The sequence below is a fragment of the Homo sapiens genome, chromosome 18, assembly GCF_000001405.40.
Source record: "Homo sapiens chromosome 18, GRCh38.p14 Primary Assembly".
In the NCBI taxonomy this organism is placed as follows: domain Eukaryota; kingdom Metazoa; phylum Chordata; class Mammalia; order Primates; family Hominidae; genus Homo; species Homo sapiens.
This window is the reverse complement of record NC_000018.10, coordinates 14,084,097-14,107,144: the sequence shown is the minus strand read 5'-3', so window position 1 is coordinate 14,107,144 and position 23,048 is coordinate 14,084,097. Positions and strand designations below refer to the sequence as shown.

Below are 23,048 nucleotides of genomic sequence, written 5' to 3'. Positions count from 1 at the left end.
GGTGTAAGCACTCTCTTAGCTGCACCAGTTTGTATCTCAGTAGGTAATGTGGCCCCCAAGTCCACTGGCTCTAAGCCCAGTTCAGCACTAGGACTCACCTGGGAGTTGCAGTCCTTGTGACCTAAACTGCCTTTCAAGTTTTTTAGGGCCCAGAGCATTTTAGACTATGTCGATGAGGCTTGCCAGAACTCAAGTTCCAATCACCGGGAAGGGTGATTCCTCTCTGCCCAGGGCCAGTTGAAATACTCCCTCTGTGGGCAGGCGTCAGCTGAGTGCATTCCAGTTTTGCTTTCTGCTGTGATAGGGCAGCACTGAGTTCAGTGCTCACAATCCCAGTGTTCTCTATCTCCCAAGTGTACAGCTTCTATCTACATAGTATGTGACAGCTGCCAGGGCATGAGTGAGGGGTGGCATTAGTGATTCAAGACGGTCTTTCCTACCCTCTTTTAGTGAGTAGTACAAGGTTAAAACCAGGTACTGTGAGTGCTCACCTTTATTCTTATGAAGGTTTTCTTTTTCTTTTTCTTTTTTAATAGATCATTGTAAAATTGGTGACCTTGCAGGGGAAATGATCACTGGAGCCTTCTATTTAGCCATCTTGCTCTGTCCTTTCTTGGTTTTCTACTATGGCATTGTGCTGATGTTCTCAGCTTGGCAAAATTTCATATTAGATTTGTAAAGTATATTCAACTGAAATCAGTATGTAGAATAATTAGTTATTTTTACTTCTTTCAGCTGTGTATTCTTATTACAACCAAGGCATTTTACCAGAGCAAGGCATACAAGATTCATTCAAAAAAGCAACACTGGGAAGATATGGGAGCTGTGGCCTTGAAAATATATGCTTATGGAAAAACTGGGAAAGTATAGGTGAAGGTGAAGGACAAAAGGAATGTTATAATCTATGTAGCCAATATTTGACAACTAGTCATAACAAACATTTAACTGTGAAAGGAGACAAAGAATATAGAATATTTCAGAAGAAGCCTCAGTTTCTGTCAGCTGCTCCTACAGAACCATGTATTCCTATGAATAAATATCAACATAAATTTTTGAAATCTGTCTTTTGTAATAAAAATCAGATAAATTTTAACCATGACTCAAATATTAGTAAACATCATAGTACTCATTTTCTAGAAAACTATTACAATTGTAATGAATGTGAAAAAGTATTTTACCAATCCTCAAAGCTTATTTTCCCTGAAAATATCCATATTCAAAAAAAGCCTTACAACTCTAATGAATGTGGTGAAACTTCTGACCCATTCTCAAAGCTTACTCAACATCAAAGAATTTATATTGGAGAGAGCTCACAAAGATGTAATAAAAAATGTATAATAGTCTTTAGTCAATCACATCTAAAGGGACATAAGATAATTAACACTGGAGAAAAATCAGTGAAATATAAAGAACGTGGCAAAGCTTTTACCAGGGGCTTACATCTTGGACATCAGAAAATTCATACTGGAGAGAAACCTTACAAATGTAAAAAATGTGACAAAGCCTTTAACAAGAGTTCACACCTTGCTCAACATCAGAGAATCCATACTGGAGAGAAGCCTTTCAAGTGTAAGGAATGTGGCAAAGCTTTTAACAGAGGCTCATACCTTACTCAACATCAGAGAATCCATACTGGAGAGAGAGCTTTCAAATGTGAAGAATGTGGCAAAGCCTTTAACAGGGGGTCATACCTTACTCAACACCAGAGAATCCATACCGGAGAGAAACCTTTCAGATGTAAGGAATGTGGCAAAGCCTTTAATAGAAGCTCATACGTTACTCAGCATCAGAGAATGCATACTGGAGAGAAACCTTTCAAGTGTAAGGAATGTGGCAAAGCTTTTAACAGAGCTTCACACCTTACTCAACATCAGAGAATCCATACTGGAGAGAAACACTTCAAATGTAAAGAATGTGGCAAAGCCTTTAACAGGGGCTCACACCTTACTCGACATCAAAGAATCCATACTGGAGAGAAGTCTTTCAAATGTGAAGAATGTGGCAAAGCTTTTATCTGGGGCTCACACCTTACTCAACATCAGAGAGTCCATACTGGAGAGAAATTCTTCAAATGTAAAGAATGTGGCAAAGCTTTTACCAGGAGCTCACACCTTACTCAACATCAGAGAATTCATACTGGAGAGAAACCTTTCAAATGTAAAGAATGTGGCAAAGCTTTTAACAGACGCTCAACCCTTACTCAACATCAAATAATTCATACCAGGTAGAAACCCTGCAAGTGTAAAGAATGTGCTAAAACCCTAAACTGGTGCTCACACCTTACTCAACATTAGAAAATCAATACTGGATAGAAATCCCATATGTGTAATGATTTTTGAAACATCAAAATGAAGATTAAATAAAAATTAGAAGTGTCACTTTAGAAAGAACTAAGGTGCTAGCACTTCCGTAAATTACTCTGAATCAGTGTGTTTATTATAACAAATAATTCAAACTCAATTAGATAATTAAATTGTATGTTTAAAAAGAGGGACGACATTGATGGAGAGGCATAATTATATTCAATGTTCACTTATTTTTGTAATCACAGTATTCATGATTGAGAAAGTATTATTGATGTAATTAAATTCAAATTAACCTTTTTTTTCCCCACTGTGGTTGATTATTGCTGTCTCTGACATGAGAGTCCCTTCTACGTTAGGTAGGCATCATTCACATGTCTCATTCACATGTCATCATTCACATGTCTCATGACGTCATTCACAAGTTTCCCATGGAAGACTAAGAGCATTGGCATATAGGATGTATGATGAAATCTAAATGGAGTTGCTCTTTTTGTTTGACTTACAACACTGAATATAAGTCATATATGAGTTAGGTGTTCAGAATATTATTGTTCTGCATTAAAGTGTGAGACAGAAACACTCTGAGTTTTAGATATGAATAGTTTTACCAACTACCCATTAAAAGGTCTTGCTAGTCCATTAATATTCTAATGTATCTTCATAGCAGCAAGTTAGAAGTCCTGAATGTTACTGTGATAACAATAAAGAAATCACAAATATCAGAGAGTGGTGCAAATAACTTCTCTCTGGTAGAACATAGATTATTAATTCAATCCTCTAAATACTTAGGCTCAGTTTAAGAAAAGAGAGAACACATTTTTTTAACATAGGTCATGGTATCAGAATAAGAATGCTTTTTGAATGTTTGCAGTCTGTAATTTTGATGATTGAGGAAACTGGATTTTGAAATGCTTTATTCAGTCTGTAAACTTAATTTTTTTTTAAGAATAAAATGAAATGTCTTTTAATTTGTTAACACTGTTGCTTATTGAATAATGTCTTATCCTGACAAAAATGTTAACTTATTCCACCTTGCTCAAGATTCCAGGTAGTAAATGGTAATGATATACTATCGGGTATGTCTAGTTCATGCTGTCTTTAGCATTTTTTTACCCTTAGTGGTATTAAACTCCAAATAGTTTGGAGAATGTTGATTCCATAAGTTATTACTTGTTACTCTAACAAGTTCCCCAAGGTGTGTTGAGTAGTTAATTAGCCCTTAGCTATTTTTACCAAACATTAGGTTATTAATTTAAAATTGTTTGTTTTTAATGTAGGTGTTTACTGCTATGAATTTCTCTGAACAGTTTGCTGCATCTCATGTTTCGATATGTCATAACTTCATTTTCATTTATCTGAAAATATTTTCCAGTTTCATTTTTTCTTTAACACATTAATTAGGAGTATTTTTAATTTCCATATATTTGTGAGTTCCCCCCATTTTCTGCATTCATTTATTTTTAATTTCCTTTTACTAAAGTCAGGGAAAATACTTTGGATTATTTTGATCCTGTTAATTTTATTGACGTTTTCCTGCTGTATGGCCTAGCATATGGTCTATCCTGGAGAATGATTTATGTGTACTTCTAATTTTGAGTGGAAAATTCTATAAATTTGAGAATTCTATCAGTTCATATTTGTTTACAGTGTTCAAGTGTTATGTTTTCCTGTTGATCTTCCCACTTTTTCTGCCCATTATTTACATTGGAGTATAGAAGTTTCTATACTTCTGATAAACTCCAAATAATGGATTTGATTATTTAATCTATTTATAGCCTGTAATATTATCAGTATAGTTGAATTTGCATCATTTTGCTTTCTATTTTTATGTCTCACGTATTTTTCTTTATTCTTCCTTTACTGCTTTCTTATTACTTTCCATATAATCTTTTAATTTATATAATTGTTCATGTTTTTGAAGTTACTTCCTTGTTTTCTCTAGCCCTTATATACCTTATCAGAATCTGCTTTATATTTATATTAATTCCAATGAGATATAAAATATTACCACTATATAGCTTTTTTCCCCCAATTTGGATTGAATTTTTAAAATATTGTCTTAATTTAGTTTTATTGTTTTATTAAAAAAGCTAAACTTAACAAAATTGGTTGTATATTAGTTTAGGTGAGGTTGTTTTGTAATGAGAAAATAATTTACAACATATAGAGAATAAATTATTATTATTTTAAAAAGTACTCTACATTTTGTATCCTTACCATTTCCTTTGATAGTTTAAAATTGTAATTCTCTAAATAAGAGATATATTCATAAATGTGACTTGTAAATGTTGAAATTTATATGTTTGCTTTTTCTGCATTCAGTAAGGGTAGTAGTTTCCAGCATCTGTGCCTCTTTAAAGTGAAAGACAGGGGCAGGCGTAGTGGCTAATGCCTGTAATCCCAGCACTTCGGGAGGCCCAGGTGGGTGGATCACCTGAGGTCAGGAGTTCGAGACTAGCCTAGCCAACTTAGTAAAACCCTCTCTCTACCAAAAATACAAAAAATTAGCTGGGTGTGGTGGTGGGCTCCTGTAATCCCAGCTACTTGGGAGGCTGAGACAGGAAAATCACTTAAACCTGAGAGGTGGAGGTTGCAGTGAGCCAAGATCATGTCACTGCACTGCAGCCTGGGCAGCAGAGTGAGACTCCATCTCTAAATAAGTAAATTCAGCCTGGGCAACATGTGAGACTCCATCTCTAAATAAATAAATAAATGAATGAATGAATGATAGGATGGAATTAAAATAGTTTGAAAACACAAATTAACAAAATGGTGTTGACAAAGATTGTTCATTTGTGGTCTACCAGGGCATAAAATTCTCAAAAAACATAATCAGTAGGAAACCTCTTTATTCCTGAATATTAGAGAATATTATATGTCTTAAAATTATTCATGTTGAAAAGCTCTGCCTTTCATGCATTTAGGAGAAAAAGTAGAGGGCAGGAGGTTTATGTAGACTCTGGTCTGTGCCTGATTTGGGGAATGGAAAGACTCGACAGAAGAGGCCAGGTCAGCCAAGCAGGGCTCTGTTGCGTGCAAGATTAACTGCTGGTTTGTCTTTGCAGAGCTCCACACAGAACATCATCAAAGAACTGATGGACACTTCATCTCCCTGGGTGAGGGGCAGGTGTACCATGCTGTCATGGCCATTCCTGCCTCGATTGGGGTGTGGGTGTAGAGATGGTCTCTATAACCAGGGCCCAGACATGGCTGAGAAGGCCTTCTGCCAGGACTCCACCTTGATGACTCACAGGACTTTGTGCCTTGGCTTTCCCTATTGAGTGACCCACAGTTTTAATCCAAGGGACCCTGAGTCTGTTTCCTTCCTTCAGCCCCACCATTTCACCCCAGCACTGTTCAGGTGTACAATCGGCTTTCACATATTTGTAAGAATATCTAGGAAAATTATTTATATTTTACTTTCACTTCATGTTATGACCATGAGTGTTTTTGCATTTGCTAGGGCTCATTGTTTTAATTGGCCCCCCTTTATCCCTCTGAGTGCGGAAATAAATCAGCCCTAAATCTGGATGAGACCTGCAGGTGGACTCCATCAGTGCAGGCGTGGTGGGGCAGCAGGAGGAGCCCGTGGTGCCCACCTTCCAGAGCTGCCACCTCTTTTACCTCCTCATGTTCCTTCCTGTGCACCTAGAGAGAGTTCACCCCCACCCAACAGCTCCTGGACCTGCTGCCCAAAAGGTAAGTGCTCCATCCCTCCACAGCACAAGGGGGACTCAGCCACCTATTATCTGTGTCTTGGGAAAGTCCCTTCACATTTGTGGGCTTCAGTTTGCTTCTTTGGAACTGGGGTTCTAAGAAGCCTAACATGATATGATTGTTTCAAGAACTAAATGAGATAAGCTATGGAAAGTACTTCAGACTTGGCCTTGTAGAAAGCACTGCTGAGGGAATAGATTGGTTATTCATATTATAAAACTATTTAAAACTCTAGAAAACTATAGTAAGATATAAGATTATAAAAATATCAAAACTAAGATATTGACAGTAATAGAATTAACCTACTCATCTATTTGCATTTTACCAGATTAATTTTTTCTTATGTGTGTGTGTTCTGTGCAATTTTATTACATGTGTAGGTTCACCTACCAGAAGATTAACTCGTTTTCCTCTTATAACCACATCCGCTTCCCTTCTCCCCACCATACCCACTCTGATTCTGATTCTTTGAAACCATTAATTTCTATTTCTGCAAATTTGTCATTCCAATAATGTTATATAAATGAAATCATAACCTGTGCAACCTTTTGTAATTGGCCCTTTTCCTTCAGCATAATTCCTTGGAGATTCATCTAAATTGGTTTATGTTTTAGTTTGTTCCTTTTGTTATTGCTGTGGGTTTTCATGTGTGGATGTTACCATGAAATACTGTGTGTAACCCTTCACTCTTTCAAGAACATATTTGTTGTTTTCAGTCAGTGTGTGGCTATTATGAATAAAAGTGCTATGTACATTCATGTACTAGGTTTCATATGAATACATGTTTTCATTACTCTGGAAAATATTTCCAGCATACAATTCCTGGCTCATAGGGTAGTTACAAGTTTAATTTTAATAGAAACTAGCACTCTGTTATCCAGAGTGACTATCATTTTACATTCCCATCATCAATGAATTTCTGTTTTTTCAAATCCTCTTAGCCATACTGACTGATATGTATTGATATCACATTGTTTTAATGTACATTTTTCTAAAGGATAATAATGTTGAACTTTATTTAATGTTCTCATATGACATCTGCCTATTATCTCTGATGAAATGTTTATTCATGTCTGCATGTTTTCTAATTGTATTTGTTTTCTTGCAAGTTTTGAGAGTTCTGTTTATATTCTGGTTACTAGCTCACATAGGCAATAAATAAGTTTTTTTTCCACAAAGAAAAACATTTGCAAGGATTTTCTTCCATCTATTGCTTGCCTTATTTATTCAACTTTTTTTATAATTAGAATAATAACAGTTCTACTTCAAAATGTCAGAGAAAACTGAATCTTTCCAGAGTTGCTGGACATTGTAAGGGTGTGTGGAACCCTATTTAATTTAGCCTGAGGGATGGAGACTTGTAGACCTTTTTGCACACAAGGTGGCTCCCTTGTTGTTATAGCTGGAGGAGGAGCCTAATGCAGATTTAAACCGGAAGATGGTGATTGGCAAATAACCATCTCCTTTTGTGTTAAAATATCATGGCCTAGACAGCAAATGTGAAGTAATGTCTTTAGGATGAACATCTCTTGTATATTTAATATTCACTTATTAGACAGGAAGAGCACTTATTTATAAACCAGTCACTTTCTATTAATATACAAATTAATTTGAATGTTAATATTTTGATTTCTGAGGAGATGTTAGGAGCTGGCTGTATGTATAATATACATAATAAGTATTGGTGTAAGAAATGCTTTTATTGGGCAGCTACTATGTACTTGCATGCTACTAGAGCTAAAAGATGAGTTATAATGCTTTCCTCACAGAGCAAATATACTAGTTGGAGATTAAATCACAAGTATTTCTTCATTACTTTTATGTGCCCATCACCAAGCAAATAAGGAAGAAGTATTTTTTACATTTATTTTTTGAATGTTGGTAGAGATAAGTATTGAGGAGGGGCTGTTACTCCAGGCAGGTCGGGGGAGGCTAGGTTGGTGGGAAGTAGCAGGGAGGCTAGGTTGGTGGGAAGTAGAGGGGAGGTGAGGCTTCCTGAAGGAAGTGATTAATGAAATGGGGAGATGGTGGAAGTTGGCTGGGTAAGGAAGAGGATGGAACAGACCTCCAGAGACCTGACACTGAGAACAGATGTTAATTTTAGGAGTTAGCTCCAGATTCTGTGTCACAAAAACATTCCTTTCACCTGGGAAGTTAGGGTGGAGACTATAAATTTCATGCTGTTGGAGACCAATAGAGGCAGAAGGCACATTTCACTCACTTTACTGGATTCCCTGAAACATAGACCCTAATAAAGATTTCAGATGCACATACTCAGTGCTTTCCAGAAGATGCTCTATAGAACACGAGGGACTCAAGATATTAACAAATGTCATCGGATAAATAGGTCCCGAGGTTAAATAAGTTCAGACGTTGCAAATGTCTGTTGTGAACCTTGTGAACCAGGAAAATCTTGGCAGTGTTCCAGACTGGGTGGCTTTTCCCTTGAGCATCTTGAGAAACTAGTTCTCAGAGAATACTTTGGGAAATGCCACATCAGCATTCATGTGGTGTGGATGCTCCCTGGCTATTGTAACAAGTCGGAGCCTCCCTGAATATCCACTGCTATCCTGAGAGATTAACAAAGCTGGAGACACCCTGACAGGAGGCAGCCATCAGTGCAGTTAATGATGGGAATACTAAAAAATGGAAGGTGAAAGTTGGCCAGGCGTGGTGGCTCATGCCTATAATCCCAGCACTTTGGGAGGCCAAGGCAGGTGAATCTCTTGAGGCCAGGAGTTCGAGACCAGACTGGCCTACATGGTGAAACCCCGTCTCTACTAAAAATACAAAAATTTGCCAGGCGTTGTGGTGGGTGCCTGTAATCCAGCTACTCAGTAAGCTGAGGCAGGAGAATTACCTGAACCTGGGAGGAAGAGGTTGCAGTGAGCCAAGATTGTGCCACAGCACTCCAGCATGGGCAGCAGAGTGAGACTCCCATCTCAAAAAAAAAAAAAAAAGACAGTGAAAGTTGTATAGGCGACTGATTTTCAACAGGGACAGTGAAAGGGACAATGTAGAGGACAGTGTGGAGACCATAGGGGTCAGGTCTGTTGCTCTGTGTATGAGGGTCTATCATTGGAAATAAATTGAGGTTATCAATGATGAGAGCTCTGGGGCCTCTGAAATGTGACTCTTGAGTCTGGATATGAGGTCATCAGCCATAGGATGTTGACCACAAACTCATTGTGTTTGTTACTCACCTCGCACTTTCTACTTGTGAGTTACTGTGTTTTTTTACTTCACACATGGCATTTGTTAGAGTATTAATATAAACATACATATACACACAAACATTTTCATCATGAAAAACATGAGCAGTATTGGGACAAAAGCATCCTACTGATCTTGCATAAACTCAAAAGGACAAAATACTGACAAATGTTTCCAACACTGAGAGCCACATTATTTACAAACTTCTTACTTGCCAGTCCTTCATGTGGTCATGTCCCCATTCAGGGGAACTGGAATCTGTACATCCAAGCCCCTTGATTTTACCATTCTAAACCAAATGCATCAACTGCCTTATTCCACAAGGGCTCCCTAATGTGATTTATAGAGGATATCTCAGCACATCTTTGCTTTCAAGCTGGAGGCCACCTTCAACGCCAGGTTATTTGACCACTTGGACTTGCACCTCCATGAGGACTTGAGGTCATACTGATATGGGATGGCCATTTCCAGGTGATGATGTGGGCACAGGCTGCTTTACACATACTACACTCCATTTAGTGGGGCCACCTCCACCTGAGACCATCTGTGTCACCCTCTGAAACTCCATCCTGCAACCATTGTGCTTATATAGGGCTGTAGTTTCTCCTGAAAAGAAAAATACTAGTATTTTAGTGAAGCAGTTTTTCCAACAAATCACTAGAAACTTTTTCTTCATTGTAATAAGAATGATGAAGCCATAAATTGAGGAAATTGTTAATTTCATCATCACTGTTTTTACTGCTCACCTCTCATCCAATCTAATTTGTAGCCAAAAGGAACTACTTCATTTGATTTGGAGACTCCAGGAGCACACACTATGTATAAACTTGAGTGCATAAGGTTTGATGGAGAAGGTGGTTGGAAACTGATGGTTTACACAGCAGAGCAACATCACTCAACTCGTATATAAGCAGAGAAAGAGTTGGAGAAAAATGAAATGAAGCGTTGAGATATCAGCACCCCTTCACTTCCAAATGGCCAACAACCTGGATCCTTCATCTGTGTCCACTTCCCAGCAAGTCGGAATAGGGTGAGCTGAACTCACAGGAAGGGAACTCAGCCCTTGATACCTGGGAGCAGTGGGCAATGCTGTCCTCTCCCTCTTTCATCTATAGGAACACCACTGTTGTTTTCTGTTTTGCACAAGAGAGATTTACTCTCCAAAACTTAACTTCACTTGAGCCCAAATATTTAATATTGAAAGCTCTTAAAGGTTGGAGACATGAATAGATGGGTGTGGTTGCACACACCTGTGATCCTAGCTACTCGGGAGACTGAGATGGGAGGATTGCTCAAGCCCAGGTGTTTGAGGCTGCAGTGAGGTATGACCATGCCACTCTACTCCAGCCTAGGTGACAGAGCAAGACCGTGTCTCTAAAAAATAAAATAAAAATTTAAAAAGTGGGACATATGAGAATCAGTCCTGGGAAGGTCAGAAGAGTGTCTTTGAAAGTAATCTTTATACACGAGGGAATGAAGCAAATGGTGAAATAGAACCCTTCAGTGTTCATCTTCCTGCAGAAACATCAAATTGAACAACTATCTACAAATAACTTTCACAAGAGCCAAGGAATTCAGGTGAGAAATTATAATACCTGGTTTTGACACAATAATAGAGACAGTGAAGTGGGTAGGAAGGGCAGAGTCACATTGCCTGTGTCACCCATCTCCCAGCTTTCCACAGTGCAGCATAGAGAGAGATGCAGCCCACTCGGGGGAAAGAAGTGGGAAGTACATAAAGGACTTTGACTTAGAGCCCAGTGCTGGGCCCATCATGGCAAAACCCAGTACCAGGCAGAAACCCATGGCCCCTGACCTCAGGCCAGGTCCTGTAGGTGACACCTCTGGACTCACCCCAGTGCAAGGCAGAAACCTTCAGCCCCAAACCATGGTCTTGTGTTCCAGCTCACACCACTGCTAGCCTTCCACAGTGGCCTTAGGCCACGAGTGAACCCCACTGGCAGACAGGCCATGTCAGCCTGGGCCACAAGAGCACCCAGGGCTGTGTTGGTCCTGGCAGCATGGGATTTGGATGTGACCCAGATGAGCATCAGCCTTGGCAACCAAGAGACTGCTCCTACCTTTTCTCCCCCAGTCCTGGGCAGCACAGTGCAGAGTGACTCTATCCACTGGCAGGGAGGGAGAGAGAAGTAAATGCAGGACTTTGTCTTACAGCTCAGTACTAGCTTGACATGGTGAAACCCAACATTGGCCAGAACCTGATGGTTCGTGACCCCAGGCCAATGCCCACAGATAGAGCTGCTGGAACTGCTGCAGTGCCATGTGGAGACCCGCAGCTCTGGTGACACAGTCTCTTGTCCTTATTTGTATCACTGCTGCACTGCTGCAGCCTAGAGCCAATAATAAACCTCATTGGCAGGCAAGCCATAGCAGCATGTTGTCTAAGGATGTCTCTGTGCTGCCTTGGTCTTTGCAGCTGTGGGCTTTGGGTTAACCCAGTGTTACAATGACTGCAGCGGCCACAAACACCATTCCTCAACTAAGGAGCACTGAGTGGATAAAGAGGTCTCTTTGGGATAAGGAAAGAAAAGTAGGCACAACACATGGCCCTGCAACCCAGTGCTAGGCCTGCCACAGTGAAGCCCAGCACGAGGCAGAGTCACACAGTGACTCTCCCGAAGCTAATGACCATACATAAAACCTCTGGAGTTTCCCTGTCTCCAGGCAAAAACTTGCAGAACCAAATGGACCCCTTTAGGTTTTGCTCTAGTTCCTCTGGGCCAAAAGAACATAACAACTATGGACACACAACAAAAAATGGAATTCTCCAATACACGAGATTGTCACGTGCCCCTAACATCAAGAACATTCAGGGAACAATGACCTCACCAAATGGACAAGGCACCAGGGACTGACCCTAAAGTGACGAAGTTGTATAATCTTACGGACATAATTCAAAATAGCTATTTTAAGGAAACTCAGTGAACTTCAAAAAACACAGATCACTAATTCAGAAATTTATCAGAGTAAGTTGAAAGATTGAAATAATGTTTTAAGATGTAAATAATACTGGAGCCAGGAAACAACATGAACAAAATAAAAATGCATCTGGGGGCATCAACAACAGAATCAATCAAACAAAAAAAAATCAGTGAGCTCAAAGACAGGCTATTTGAAAATATAGCAAAACAAGATAAGGGCACAGAAACAAAAAAACTATAGGCCAATCTCTGCGAGCATAAATTTTAAAAAATTCTCACAAAATACTAGAAAACCAAATCCAATGGCACATTAACAAGATTATCGACCATGCTCAAATAGAATTTATGCCAGCAATGCAAGGATGCTTTACATATGCAAGTTGATAAACATAATACATCACATCAGCAGAATGAAGGACACAAACTTTATGATCATCTCAATAGATGTAGAAAAAGCAATCTGTAAAATTCAACATTTCTTTATGATTAAAAACTCAACAAATTAGGTGTAGAAGAAAAACACCTTAACATAATAAAGGCCGTATGTAGCACTCAATGCTAATGTTATACTGAAAAGGAAAAAGCCGGTTTTATAAAAGATCTGGAACAAGGCAGGGATACCGATGTTTACCACTTTTATGCAATATAATACTAGAAGTCCTAGACAGAGCATTTAGAAAGAGACATAATGTTTTTAGAGGTTAGTGTGGGCAACACTATTGTTTGCCTGTTACTAGTTCAACACTCAACATCTCTGAAGAAAAGTGTTGAGAAGGACAGGCCCCAGGCATACAGAGCTCCACTTAGCTGTTTCCTTTCTGCCACATAAATATGTATGGGGGCCAAAGACCACTTGATATTTGAGGACTTCCTGTAGCATGAAAGATGGAGAAGAAACACACGCATTAAAGCAAGAAACCAAAGGAAAAGAAAATAAATGCAGAGATCATAGGAAAACTTCAAGGAAATGTCTAGTAATATCTTTAAAATAAGTAGGAGAGACAAAGAATTGTTAGCTGAAAGCTATCTCGTTAACATATTTTAAGTTCAGACTGATGGTTTTTTCATACATAGTGAATCATAACCTAATTGGATGTGTAAACAGATTGTAACCTACTCCTGTAACAGGTAGCCAAGTCTCAGCCAATCACTGCAGCCACATTTTGGCCAGTCACAGTCAGACAATTGTTAAAGCCATGTTCAGATAAGGCAGATGTCAAGCTGTAACCAATTCAGCTGTTTCTGTTCCTCACTTTAATTTTCTGTATGCCACTTTCGTTTCTCTGTCCATGAATGTTATTCAGCCACCTGGAAGCCCTGGAGCCACTCTGAACATACTCTGGTTCTGGTGGAGCCAGATGTGTGAATTGTTCTTTGCTCAATTAAACTCTTAATTTGTTTAAAGTTTTTCTTTTAATAGTAGCCATTAAGAATATGTACATATTTCTAAATATGTGTGTATATATGTATTGTTATAGGTGTATGTAGATGCATATGAGTATACATATATGTACATGTATTAACTGTCAAAGATAAAGGCACTGGTTAAGTAGTAAGGGCAGATTTTAATCAACAATATACTATTCTGGTAGGAAAGAGAGTCCCTCATGAACTAAACTCAACTTTAATTTGAACAGAGATGACTGGATGTTTTAAAGGAGAAAGCGGCAGGATGGAGGGGGATGAGTGGGATCTCAGTAGACTCAGGAAAGTAGAAACTTTCAAAGGGTTGGTCAGTGTAAGTGAGATTAAGCAGCGGTGTCTCTAGCTGGCCATGTGGATGGACTCTGCCCTTTCGCACAGACTGGGAAATAGAGGCTCTGTAGTTCCTGATGATTACATTTCAAAGGAATGCCTGTCACGTTCTTGAGAAAGACACTCCTGATGTATAGGAAATATACATCTCAAAGTGATAGAGGAAGGATTCACCATTGTGTAGCTCTTTCTGGTAATCTCTAAGAAAGGAAGATGGGCTTATTGTCAGGTGTTTCCAAAACAGTGAATTGTTTGGCAGTCTTGAGTTTTCTCAGGCAGGCACTTTTATCCTAGGGATGCAGCCCTGTGCTGATAGAAACCATGTAAGTGTTTGTTTAAATCTTTAAATGTAGGAAGAGAGGTGGACACAATTATTTCTGCTGAGTCTGTAAATTTTATAGGCTAAGATTGAGGCCTAGTTGACAAGAGGGCTTAGGGGAGCCTGGCTAGAACTCGGTCGAGGAGAGAATCTTCCTCAGGATGTACATATATATGCATGGTGTGTGGACACACATACATACATGTAAATACTGGAGGCTGATTTATGGGGATTCTGCGCAACTGAAGTCCCAGTTCATGGAGAGAGACTTGGGTAGGTCACTGTCGAGGCTTTCTGTGATATTGTTGAGACTAGGAAGCCTAAGGAAGGCTCTGGCCACCAACAAGACCATTGAATTTGCCCCATGGAATCTTCTCAGGCCTTGCACGTCATCTCTGTTGTGGTAACTTCACTCCCCAATGACCTGTCACATTTATAACTACAGCTGTGATTGCTCCTCTAAGTCCTACACTTATATCCCCCTGATTACTTGATATTTTGACTTCATTATCAGGGTCTCTGTCTAAAGTCTTCTCCCAAACAAGCTCATTCCAATTTCCCATCCACATGCACTTCTCTGCCATCTCTTCGTGTTCCAATGAAGGACACCCCCTTCACACAGATGCCCATGGAGGCCTGACCCCTTATCCTGGTCCTGACTCCCCTCTTCTTTGCACCCATAGACATCAGCAAGTCTCAGGGTCTCTGCCTCCAGCACAGGTCCTGGACTTCACCCCATCTCTCCATCGTTACCTCCACTGCCCCCTAGGTCAATCCATCACCTTCCTCAACTTCGATTCACTGGTACGGCCTCCCAGCTGGTCTCTCTGCTTTACCAGTTTCCACACACAGCAGCTCCTGACCTTTTAAATTGAAATGAAATTCTTATCATGGTGAGAGCTCCCTCCATCATCTGACCCTTGGTGGCCTTCACTAAACTTCCTCTGGCCATCGTTCACTGAATTCAAGCCACTCTGACCTCAGGCTGGTTCTCACACCCACCACATTCATACCCACTTCTGGGCTATTGTCGTTTCTGTCCCCTCACCTGCAAAGCTTTACCCCAGGTGTCCTCACTGCTCAGGTGTGTGATCCTCAATATTTTTTACTGACCTCTTCTACCAATATTGCCCCCATCCTCCCATGTGTCACTGCCTCCCCTCCCCTCTTCATTCTTCTCCGTAAAACTTAACCACCTTCTGATGCTCTGTGTCCATTTATGCCTTTATTTAATAATATTGTTTGGTATCTGCCTTTTCTTCCTAAAATGTCATCAAGAGGACAAGGACTTTCGAGTCTTCATTGCTCTGTCTTCAACCTGAGCACTTCTGATGATGCTGTCTCTGTCACTGATCTCATGTTACTCCTGTACCCCCACTCTTTGTACTCAAAAGTCACTTGCTGCTTCTCTTCCACCATAAGACCCAGTTTGTCTTCACCGCATAATAATGGTGTATCCTTGGTGACTAAAGATACTCATTGTGGAAACCCTGGCTTAATTTTGTGAGAGAAAATTCCCTTACAACTTTTCTCAGCTTTCCACTGAGAAGTGTTCTGGTGATTTTGACAGGAAATGGGGGGCAGTGATGTGGAATTCCCCAATCCAAGAGGATTTCTTTAAAAAGTCTTTTCCTACAGTGCACTACAAGTAGAAGAAAACCATCTCCGTGTAATTTAACAATTTTTTATAAAAAAAATTTATCCATTATTAGAATATAGCAATTAAATAATATAAAGTTCAAACATGCCTTCCCACTTTATCCCCAAATAAATATATTAAGCATTTTGTTTTTATTTTTCAATGAATACATACTAAGTCCAAAAAATAATGCTTTAACTTATAACTGTTAGAAATATAACTCTAGAAAAAATATTGCTATTGAGTACTAAAAGTCTTTATTAACAAACTGCATATATTTTCAAAGTATAATACAATAATTGGAGAATAAAATGTAAATTATTTACTTATATAGTTAACATTTGCAGAGCTTTATCTTGAGAAATGTACTTTGATGATGTTTCAATTTGAGGAAGAGATTAGTGTCTCAAGTATAGCATTTCTTTCACTGCCAATGAGAGCGAATCAAACTTTCTGAGAAACTTTCACATTTCTTGCTGTGTTCCGGGATCTCCAGTCTTCTTTAAATTTGGAGAAATTGCCCATGAAGGAGCCGACTGCTGTGTCCAGCATGTGATGGGGGAGGAACTCCAGCCCAGGAAGGGGCTCCCCTGGACCCTCAGATGGAGTCGAAGTGAGTGAATGCACCTGGCAGCTTGGGAGGCCTGAGTGGAGGGGAGGGGCAGCACTCTTTAAGACCCAGGCCCACTCCTGGGGAAGGGACCAGCAGGGCTTGCTTGGCTCTTGGCCTCCTGGGAGGTTTGGAAAGATTGCTTGTGATGGGGTGATTCCTATGAGCTCTTCTAGGAACTCTAGCATTTTTAGCCTCTCGTCTGTCACCTCTTCTTGTTTAGAACATTTGTATTTCTCCGTCTTCATTTCTTGAACCAAGAAAACTGATTCTTCCATCAATCTTGAGATGGTGGTCTTTGCCCTTCTGTAAGCCTCGGCAAGGGTGGCTATACTGAAACACTCTCTAGCCTGGCATTTCTAAAAATGACTCCGTCTCTGAACACTCTGAACACAAGTGCCGTTTGTCAGTGAGTTGGTATTTATCCTCAATCTGTGTAGCTAGTGATTCCGCAGGCTGCTTTTCATGCCTTATGTAAAGTCAGTTTCTAACAGATTGAACAGGTCTCAATAAAAATAAGGGACCAACCCATGAGCCAGTGAGCGGTGGACACACCGGTGTCTACCCCTGGAGGCTATGGAAGGTGAGTCGTGGACCGAGCATCTCCACAGTCACCTCGTCCAGCTTCCCAAGGGGTCAGCCCAGGCCTCAGCTCTACAGAGGATTGCAGTCCCTCCATTGCACCGCAGCCATCACGGCTCTGCCCGGTAACCGTGGATCCTACTGGAACAACAAACACCAAAGAACATCCCAACATTCCACCTGAAACCCAGCCATCAACTGGCAGCCTGAATTGGTCAGTTTTACCGTCAGAGAAGATTTACAAATAAAATAGGCCTATCTCCATTACTGTTTAATGATTATTTTTTTCCTTTAAAAAATTTTGTATAAATATAAAATTAAAATATAGTAAAATGTGCACGTTACAGAGTTTTAAACTTCATATTCCCTGTAGTATACAACAGCCTTATCAATATATGGATCATGTCTATTGATGCAGAAAATACCTCCTTGTAACTTGTTAACCAATATCCACTCACCCCACCATATGCAGCCCCTGTTTTGATTTCTGTTAACATACATTATTTTTTCAACTCCATAAAAGTTAAATAAATCACAGTGTACAGTTTGATGTCTACCTCTTTTACTCAAGAAATGCCCATTTAGCCCACAGTTCTAGACTCAGTGTGTGTCCGGAAATCCTAGACAGGCCATGGAAAAAATCAGATGAATGAGTTCTTTCATTAGCCTCAGACTAAACATCCAGATCAAAGAGTCCTACAGTTCATAAGATTCTTTTCATTATAATGCAATAAAGAATTTGTTTTCTTCGCATATTTATCCTTTAATTTGGTGACTCATACAAGTTAGTCTAGTTTCATTTATCTTATAGGAAATACTCAAAAAATATTAGGTTCCCATCAAATTCTCTGAATAAAATGACTTTCATTTACTTGCTATATAGTTCTTAAGCTACATATATTACCTAGTCATTTTAGACCAAAACTTTATTAATTCATTTTCATACTTATATTCATCACAGATGGAATAAGTTTTAATTCTGTAAGTTTTGCTTCTTTCATGTTCGTAAAAATTAAAACTTTTATTTGAAAAGTGAGTTCTAGGAATGTAGGTAATTTTTAAAAAATAAATGTTTTTTTCAGTCAGACATGAGTTTAAAAAAAAATTCCAAAAACATATCTTACATATAGAATGTATCTAATATTCCTAAAAAAATCAAACTATTTTCCAAAGTCCTCCTTGTCCCAGTTTTAGTTTTGCAAATTTCAAATTAATGATGTCAATACTTAAGTATGTGCTGTAGCAGTTAAGAAATTTCAAATAAGGAGACAGTGACAAGGCTGCAATCACATTTAAAATAAAGAAATTAAAGTAATTATGGTGATTTCACCGTTTCAATTCCTTGGATATAAGATTATCATTTCTCAGAATTAAGCAGTTATAAGTATATTTGTCTCCTTTAATTTTTACTCCATATATTATTCATTTAAGACAACTTTTATCTTTTCTTTGATAAGGGATGGATATGCCAGAACTCATTTTTAACTAGAATGAAATTTAAGGAATTTTGAACCTTATGTGGTCCTGATCTCTGTGCTTGGGTTTTAATTTTTTTCTCAACCTGTATCATATGCACTTAGCCATGAACAATAAAATATGAACAAATCACATTTTCTTGTTGCTAAGCTACAAAGAATATGATGGTAAAGTGAAATCTCTTCAGCAAGAAAACCAGACTTTCCCCTTGTTTTGTTATTGATCAGGGGAACTGACTATGGTGCAGGACTGCTTGGGTTTCGCAGTCAAGGCAGCTTTTTATATGTGATGAAGCTACTCCGAGTTTTTCTAATTCTTTACTTTGGAACAAGACTTTCTCTTCTGATTTTCCTGAAAAAAGATTCAAATGTCTTGATACTATAAACATGCTAGAGGCAAACAAGCATCCTAAGCTGTACTTTCCATTTGCTAAAACGGGATAATTGTCACATAGGTGTTAAGTAATAGCAGCCACCCATTACCCAAATGTTCCTGAAGTTTCTCTATCCTCCTGGAGTCCATAGGTTTCAATATCTCTGTAAATAGCACTGACATCTAATTGGTGATGATCTTGCTTTCTCTGAGTGTGCCAGCTCTCTCTACATAGTTCCATTCCTTGTTTTCCAGACAGAATTTTGCTACAAGGTGGGGCATGTTGTCCAGTGTACTCACATCCATAATCTGTTCACACAATGCATGGTCAATCTCACCTCCCAGATCCTTTTTGTCCATTTTTACTTTAATGTACAAAATATAATGATGGTGATGACAATGATGGTATTGTTGACCTATATGATAATGACAAACCAAGCTATGCTCTTTTTATGTTTTCAAATGTAAGCACATCAGTAAGTGATGTACATAAATGATACGATTTAAACATCCAACACAAGGACGCACACATTTTTTATGATCATGTTGCAAATGAGAAAACAAATGACCCATCCCTTTCTTCTCCTTTAATCATGGCAACATCAGTAGCTCCTAAGAGTTTTATTTGAGGAAGTTCTGCCTGTGTTATCTGGCTGATATTGAAGACTTGGGATTTTGTCACCCAAGTCCCATAAACAGTGGGTTACAGTTCAGGTAAGATGGAATGAAGCATGGTTTTTAGAGTGTACACTGATAGGAGCTCACTTTTATAAAATTTTCACATTCACCAAAATATATTTTCTAATAAAAATAATATATTAACACAAAAGTAGCTATGCAGCTGTGCCTTTTATTTCTTTTTCTTACCTGATTGGTCTGGCTAGGACTTTCAGTACTACATTGAATAAAAATGGTAAACATAAGCATCCTTATCTTGTGTCAGATCTTAGAGAGAAAACATCCAGCTTTTCCCATTCAGTATGATGGTTCTGTTATATATGGCCTTTATTATATTGAGGTATATTTCTTCTATACCCAATCTGTTGACAGTTTTTATCTAATGAGATGAGCGTATGGTTTTTGTCCTTCGTTCCATTAATCTGATGTATCACCTTTATTGATTTGCATATGTTGAACCATCTTTATATTTCTGGGATGAATTCTACTTGATCTTGGTGAATAATCTTCACGATGTGCAATGGGATTTAGTTGGCTAGTATTTTGTGAGGATTTTTGCATCTATATTCTTCAGGGAAATAGTCCTGTAATTTTGTTGTTGTTGTTATGTCCTTGTCTGATTTGATATCTTTTCAAAAAGCCTGTCTTTGAGCTCATTGATTCTTTTTTCTGTTTGATTGATTGATTCTGCTGGTATTTTTTATTTGGTTCATTACATTTTTCAACTGTGGTCACTGCTGCTTTTTTAGCATTAGAGGGCGCTCTAAGCCTGGATTTGCCACATATCCAAAGTTGCTTTGTCGTTCTGGCCTGGAAGGACTAGAGCGGGGCTTACAGAGTGTATTTCATCCCACTGGGTTTGCACGTTTCTGCCTGGGGCCGGAACAGCTCCAGGGGTTCTGTTTACGGTCCCCAGGTTGGGGTCAAGCACTGCAGGGCTGTGCCCAGGGCTGGATCTCTGTAGTGAGCTCAGCACTGGGCTGCAAGGCCACATGTGCCTGCTTTCCTTTGCTTCCCTGAAGCAGTCTCCATGCTGTGCTGCTTGTAGTGGGGCATGGATGAGACAGGGAGTCCTGTGGCCACCACAGCTGCTATGATGCTACATCATGCCCAAAGCCACTGAGGCCAGCGCAGCGCAGGGGGATCCTCAAGTTCCACGGCTACAGCTTTCCGGCCCCTGAGATTTATTCATGGCTCTAGGCTGCTGCAGAGAGTCAGTGGTGATGTGGGCTGGGACATGAGACTGTGCCACCAGGGCTGCTGGTCTCCACCTGGCACTGTGACAAGTCCAGTGGCTCTGTCCACAGGGACCAGCCTGGGTCAGGGGCCACTGAGTCTTCCCCAGTGTTGGGTTTCACGATGGTATGCCAGCACTGCATTGCCAGGCAAAGCCCTGTGCTTAGTTTCTTTCCTTTCCTTCCCTCCAGTGGGTGGAGTCACTCTTTGCACTGTGCTGCCCAGGGTTTAGAGAGGGATGGTGAGGGCAGTCCCTTGGCCACCAAGACTCATGCTTAGCTGGATCGGGCCAAAGCCAATGGAAACTGGGGCCAGCACAACCCTGGAGTGTGTCCCAGGCCCATGCTGATACGCCCTGACTACTGCTGAGGTTTGCTCGTGGCCTGATGCCACTATCGAAGGCCAGAGGTGGTGCAGGTCAGAACATGAGACTGTCCTATTGGGGCTGCAGTTTTCCACCAAGTGCTGGGGTGATTCCAGAGACTTTGTCCATGGGTTTTGGCCTGGGGTCAGTGGCTGTGGGGTTCTCCCTGGCCCTGTGTTTTACTGTGCTGGGCCCAACACTGGGATCCAAGTCAAAGTCCTTCAGTCACATCACTCACCTTCCCTCCTGTGGGTTGTGTTTCTGTGCTGCACTGCCTGGAGTTGGGGAAGCGCTGAGGTGAGCAGTGAGACTCTGTCCTTCCTACCTTCTTCAATGCCTCTTTTCTTATTGTGCTAAAAACAGGTGCTCTATTGGATTCCTTAGCACTTGTAAAGGTGCTTTTGTGCTTGGATAGTTGTTTAATTTCATGTTTTTGTGGGGGAGATGATCACTGGAGGGCCTTATTTTTCCATTTGCCTCACCCCTTCCTCTCTTAAAGATTTTTTCCAAAAATTTTTTTTCCAAAAAAATCACCCTTCTGATTTTCCTAGAAGTGATTCTTCTGTCTCCATATTTTAAGGGCTTTCAATATTAAATATTTGGGCTCAAATATATTTACACTTTGGAACATAAATCTGTCTCGGGCAAGGGAACAATTAGCATTTCATTGCAGAATAAGGATATTTAACCACACCTGTGACATTCCTTTATAATAAAGTTTATCATGTATTCAGAGTGTGTGCATCTCTGTGGATGTATTTGAAAGGTGTATGCCAAGTCAGCCCAGGGAATTTTACTAGACCTCAAAAAGACCTTGAGCTTTTCATAAACTTAGCTGTTTCTTTTTTTTATCCCCCAGTGGAAAAGCGAGATTGTCTTTGACCATTTGCTATGGACATTGTCAGGGATGGTGCAGCCTGAATGAGAATGTCTGCGGTATTTCCCGAAATAAGTATCCCTCAAGGATGATACTGTGGACCTCACTCAGGAAGAATGTGTCCTTCAGGGAAAGCTGCACAGAGACGTGATGCTGGAGAAGCAGTCATCTGGTTACTTTAGGTGAGTCTTTCAACGTTCATTTATTTTATACAAAGTTTTCCAGAATACTTTCTCTATATTCCACCTCCCTGTATGCCCTCCTTGATTTATATACTTTCATAGTCCTATTTACATGTTTATAAAGTAAGTGTATTTCACTTACTCACTGACTGTGCAATGAGGAGGAGCACCAGGCCTTGAGAGGGGAGCCTGGTGAAGGAGGCTAACTGCAGTTTGGGGGCTAAGGCTCGGAAATGGGAGGGAGACTGGGAAGCTCAGGACCAGGAGAAGGGAAAAGCTCTGCCCACCCTCCCCTGGTGATCCTGTGCAGGGACTGTGGGCTCTGTAACTTGAAGTGGGGGGTCAGTCCCGCCACATCCCCATGGCTGGCACTTAGTATGTGGCTTCATTCAGCTGGAGGGTGTTCTGAGGACAGGAATAGAACTAGCTCACTTTCCTCATGTAGGAGTTTCTTTTCCCTGAGTCCCTCCTTTTCCAGTGGACAGCGTAGGACCACCTCTTCCACATGTTGAATTCCCCCTCTTGGCAGGTTTGTGCCCCAGGAAGTAGTGTGTTGATTTGAAGCCCTAAAAAAAATATTTTCCACACTCAAGAGTGACTTATCCAGACCGATTTTACCTAAGAAACAAGCCTGAAGGAGGAGAGAGAAGAAAGAAGAGTCAGAACTAGCACTTTCCCAGGTGAAAGTCACACTGTGGTTGATTGTTCTGTCTTCTCCCTGCAGTGCTGTGTTCAGGACTTGCTAATCTCTGACTCTGCAATGTCCTGCCGCACACATTT

The 23,048-nt window shown here is 40.0% G+C and overlaps 1 protein-coding gene across 2 annotated transcripts in view, besides 1 other annotated feature; it reads left to right on the top strand.

Annotated features, from left to right (window-relative positions):
• The window catches only part of ZNF519 (zinc finger protein 519), a 61,315-nt gene that overhangs the window by 25,291 nt on the left and 12,976 nt on the right, over positions 1–23,048 (top strand). Inside the window, exons 2-3 of one of the 2 annotated variants that reach the window (NR_033354.2) lie at positions 22,069–22,268; positions 22,798–22,948. Coding sequence is in view for 1 of the 2 variants with exons in the window: in NM_145287.4 (NP_660330.2) it covers positions 736–2,228 (1,493 nt within the window). In the remaining variant the exon portion in view is untranslated. Of the gene's footprint in view, positions 1–735; positions 7,208–22,068; positions 22,269–22,797; positions 22,949–23,048 lie in introns of those variants that run through there. The other variant, NM_145287.4, reaches the window with a different exon arrangement.
• Positions 5,383–5,550: a silencer, noted in NCBI's record as "fragment chr18:14101594-14101761 (GRCh37/hg19 assembly coordinates)". NCBI's record gives its function as "represses an EF-1alpha promoter that drives an FKBP-Casp9 reporter gene in an ReSE screen in HepG2 liver carcinoma cells {active_cell/tissue: HepG2}" and the evidence as "EXISTENCE:reporter gene assay evidence [ECO:0000049][PMID:32094911]".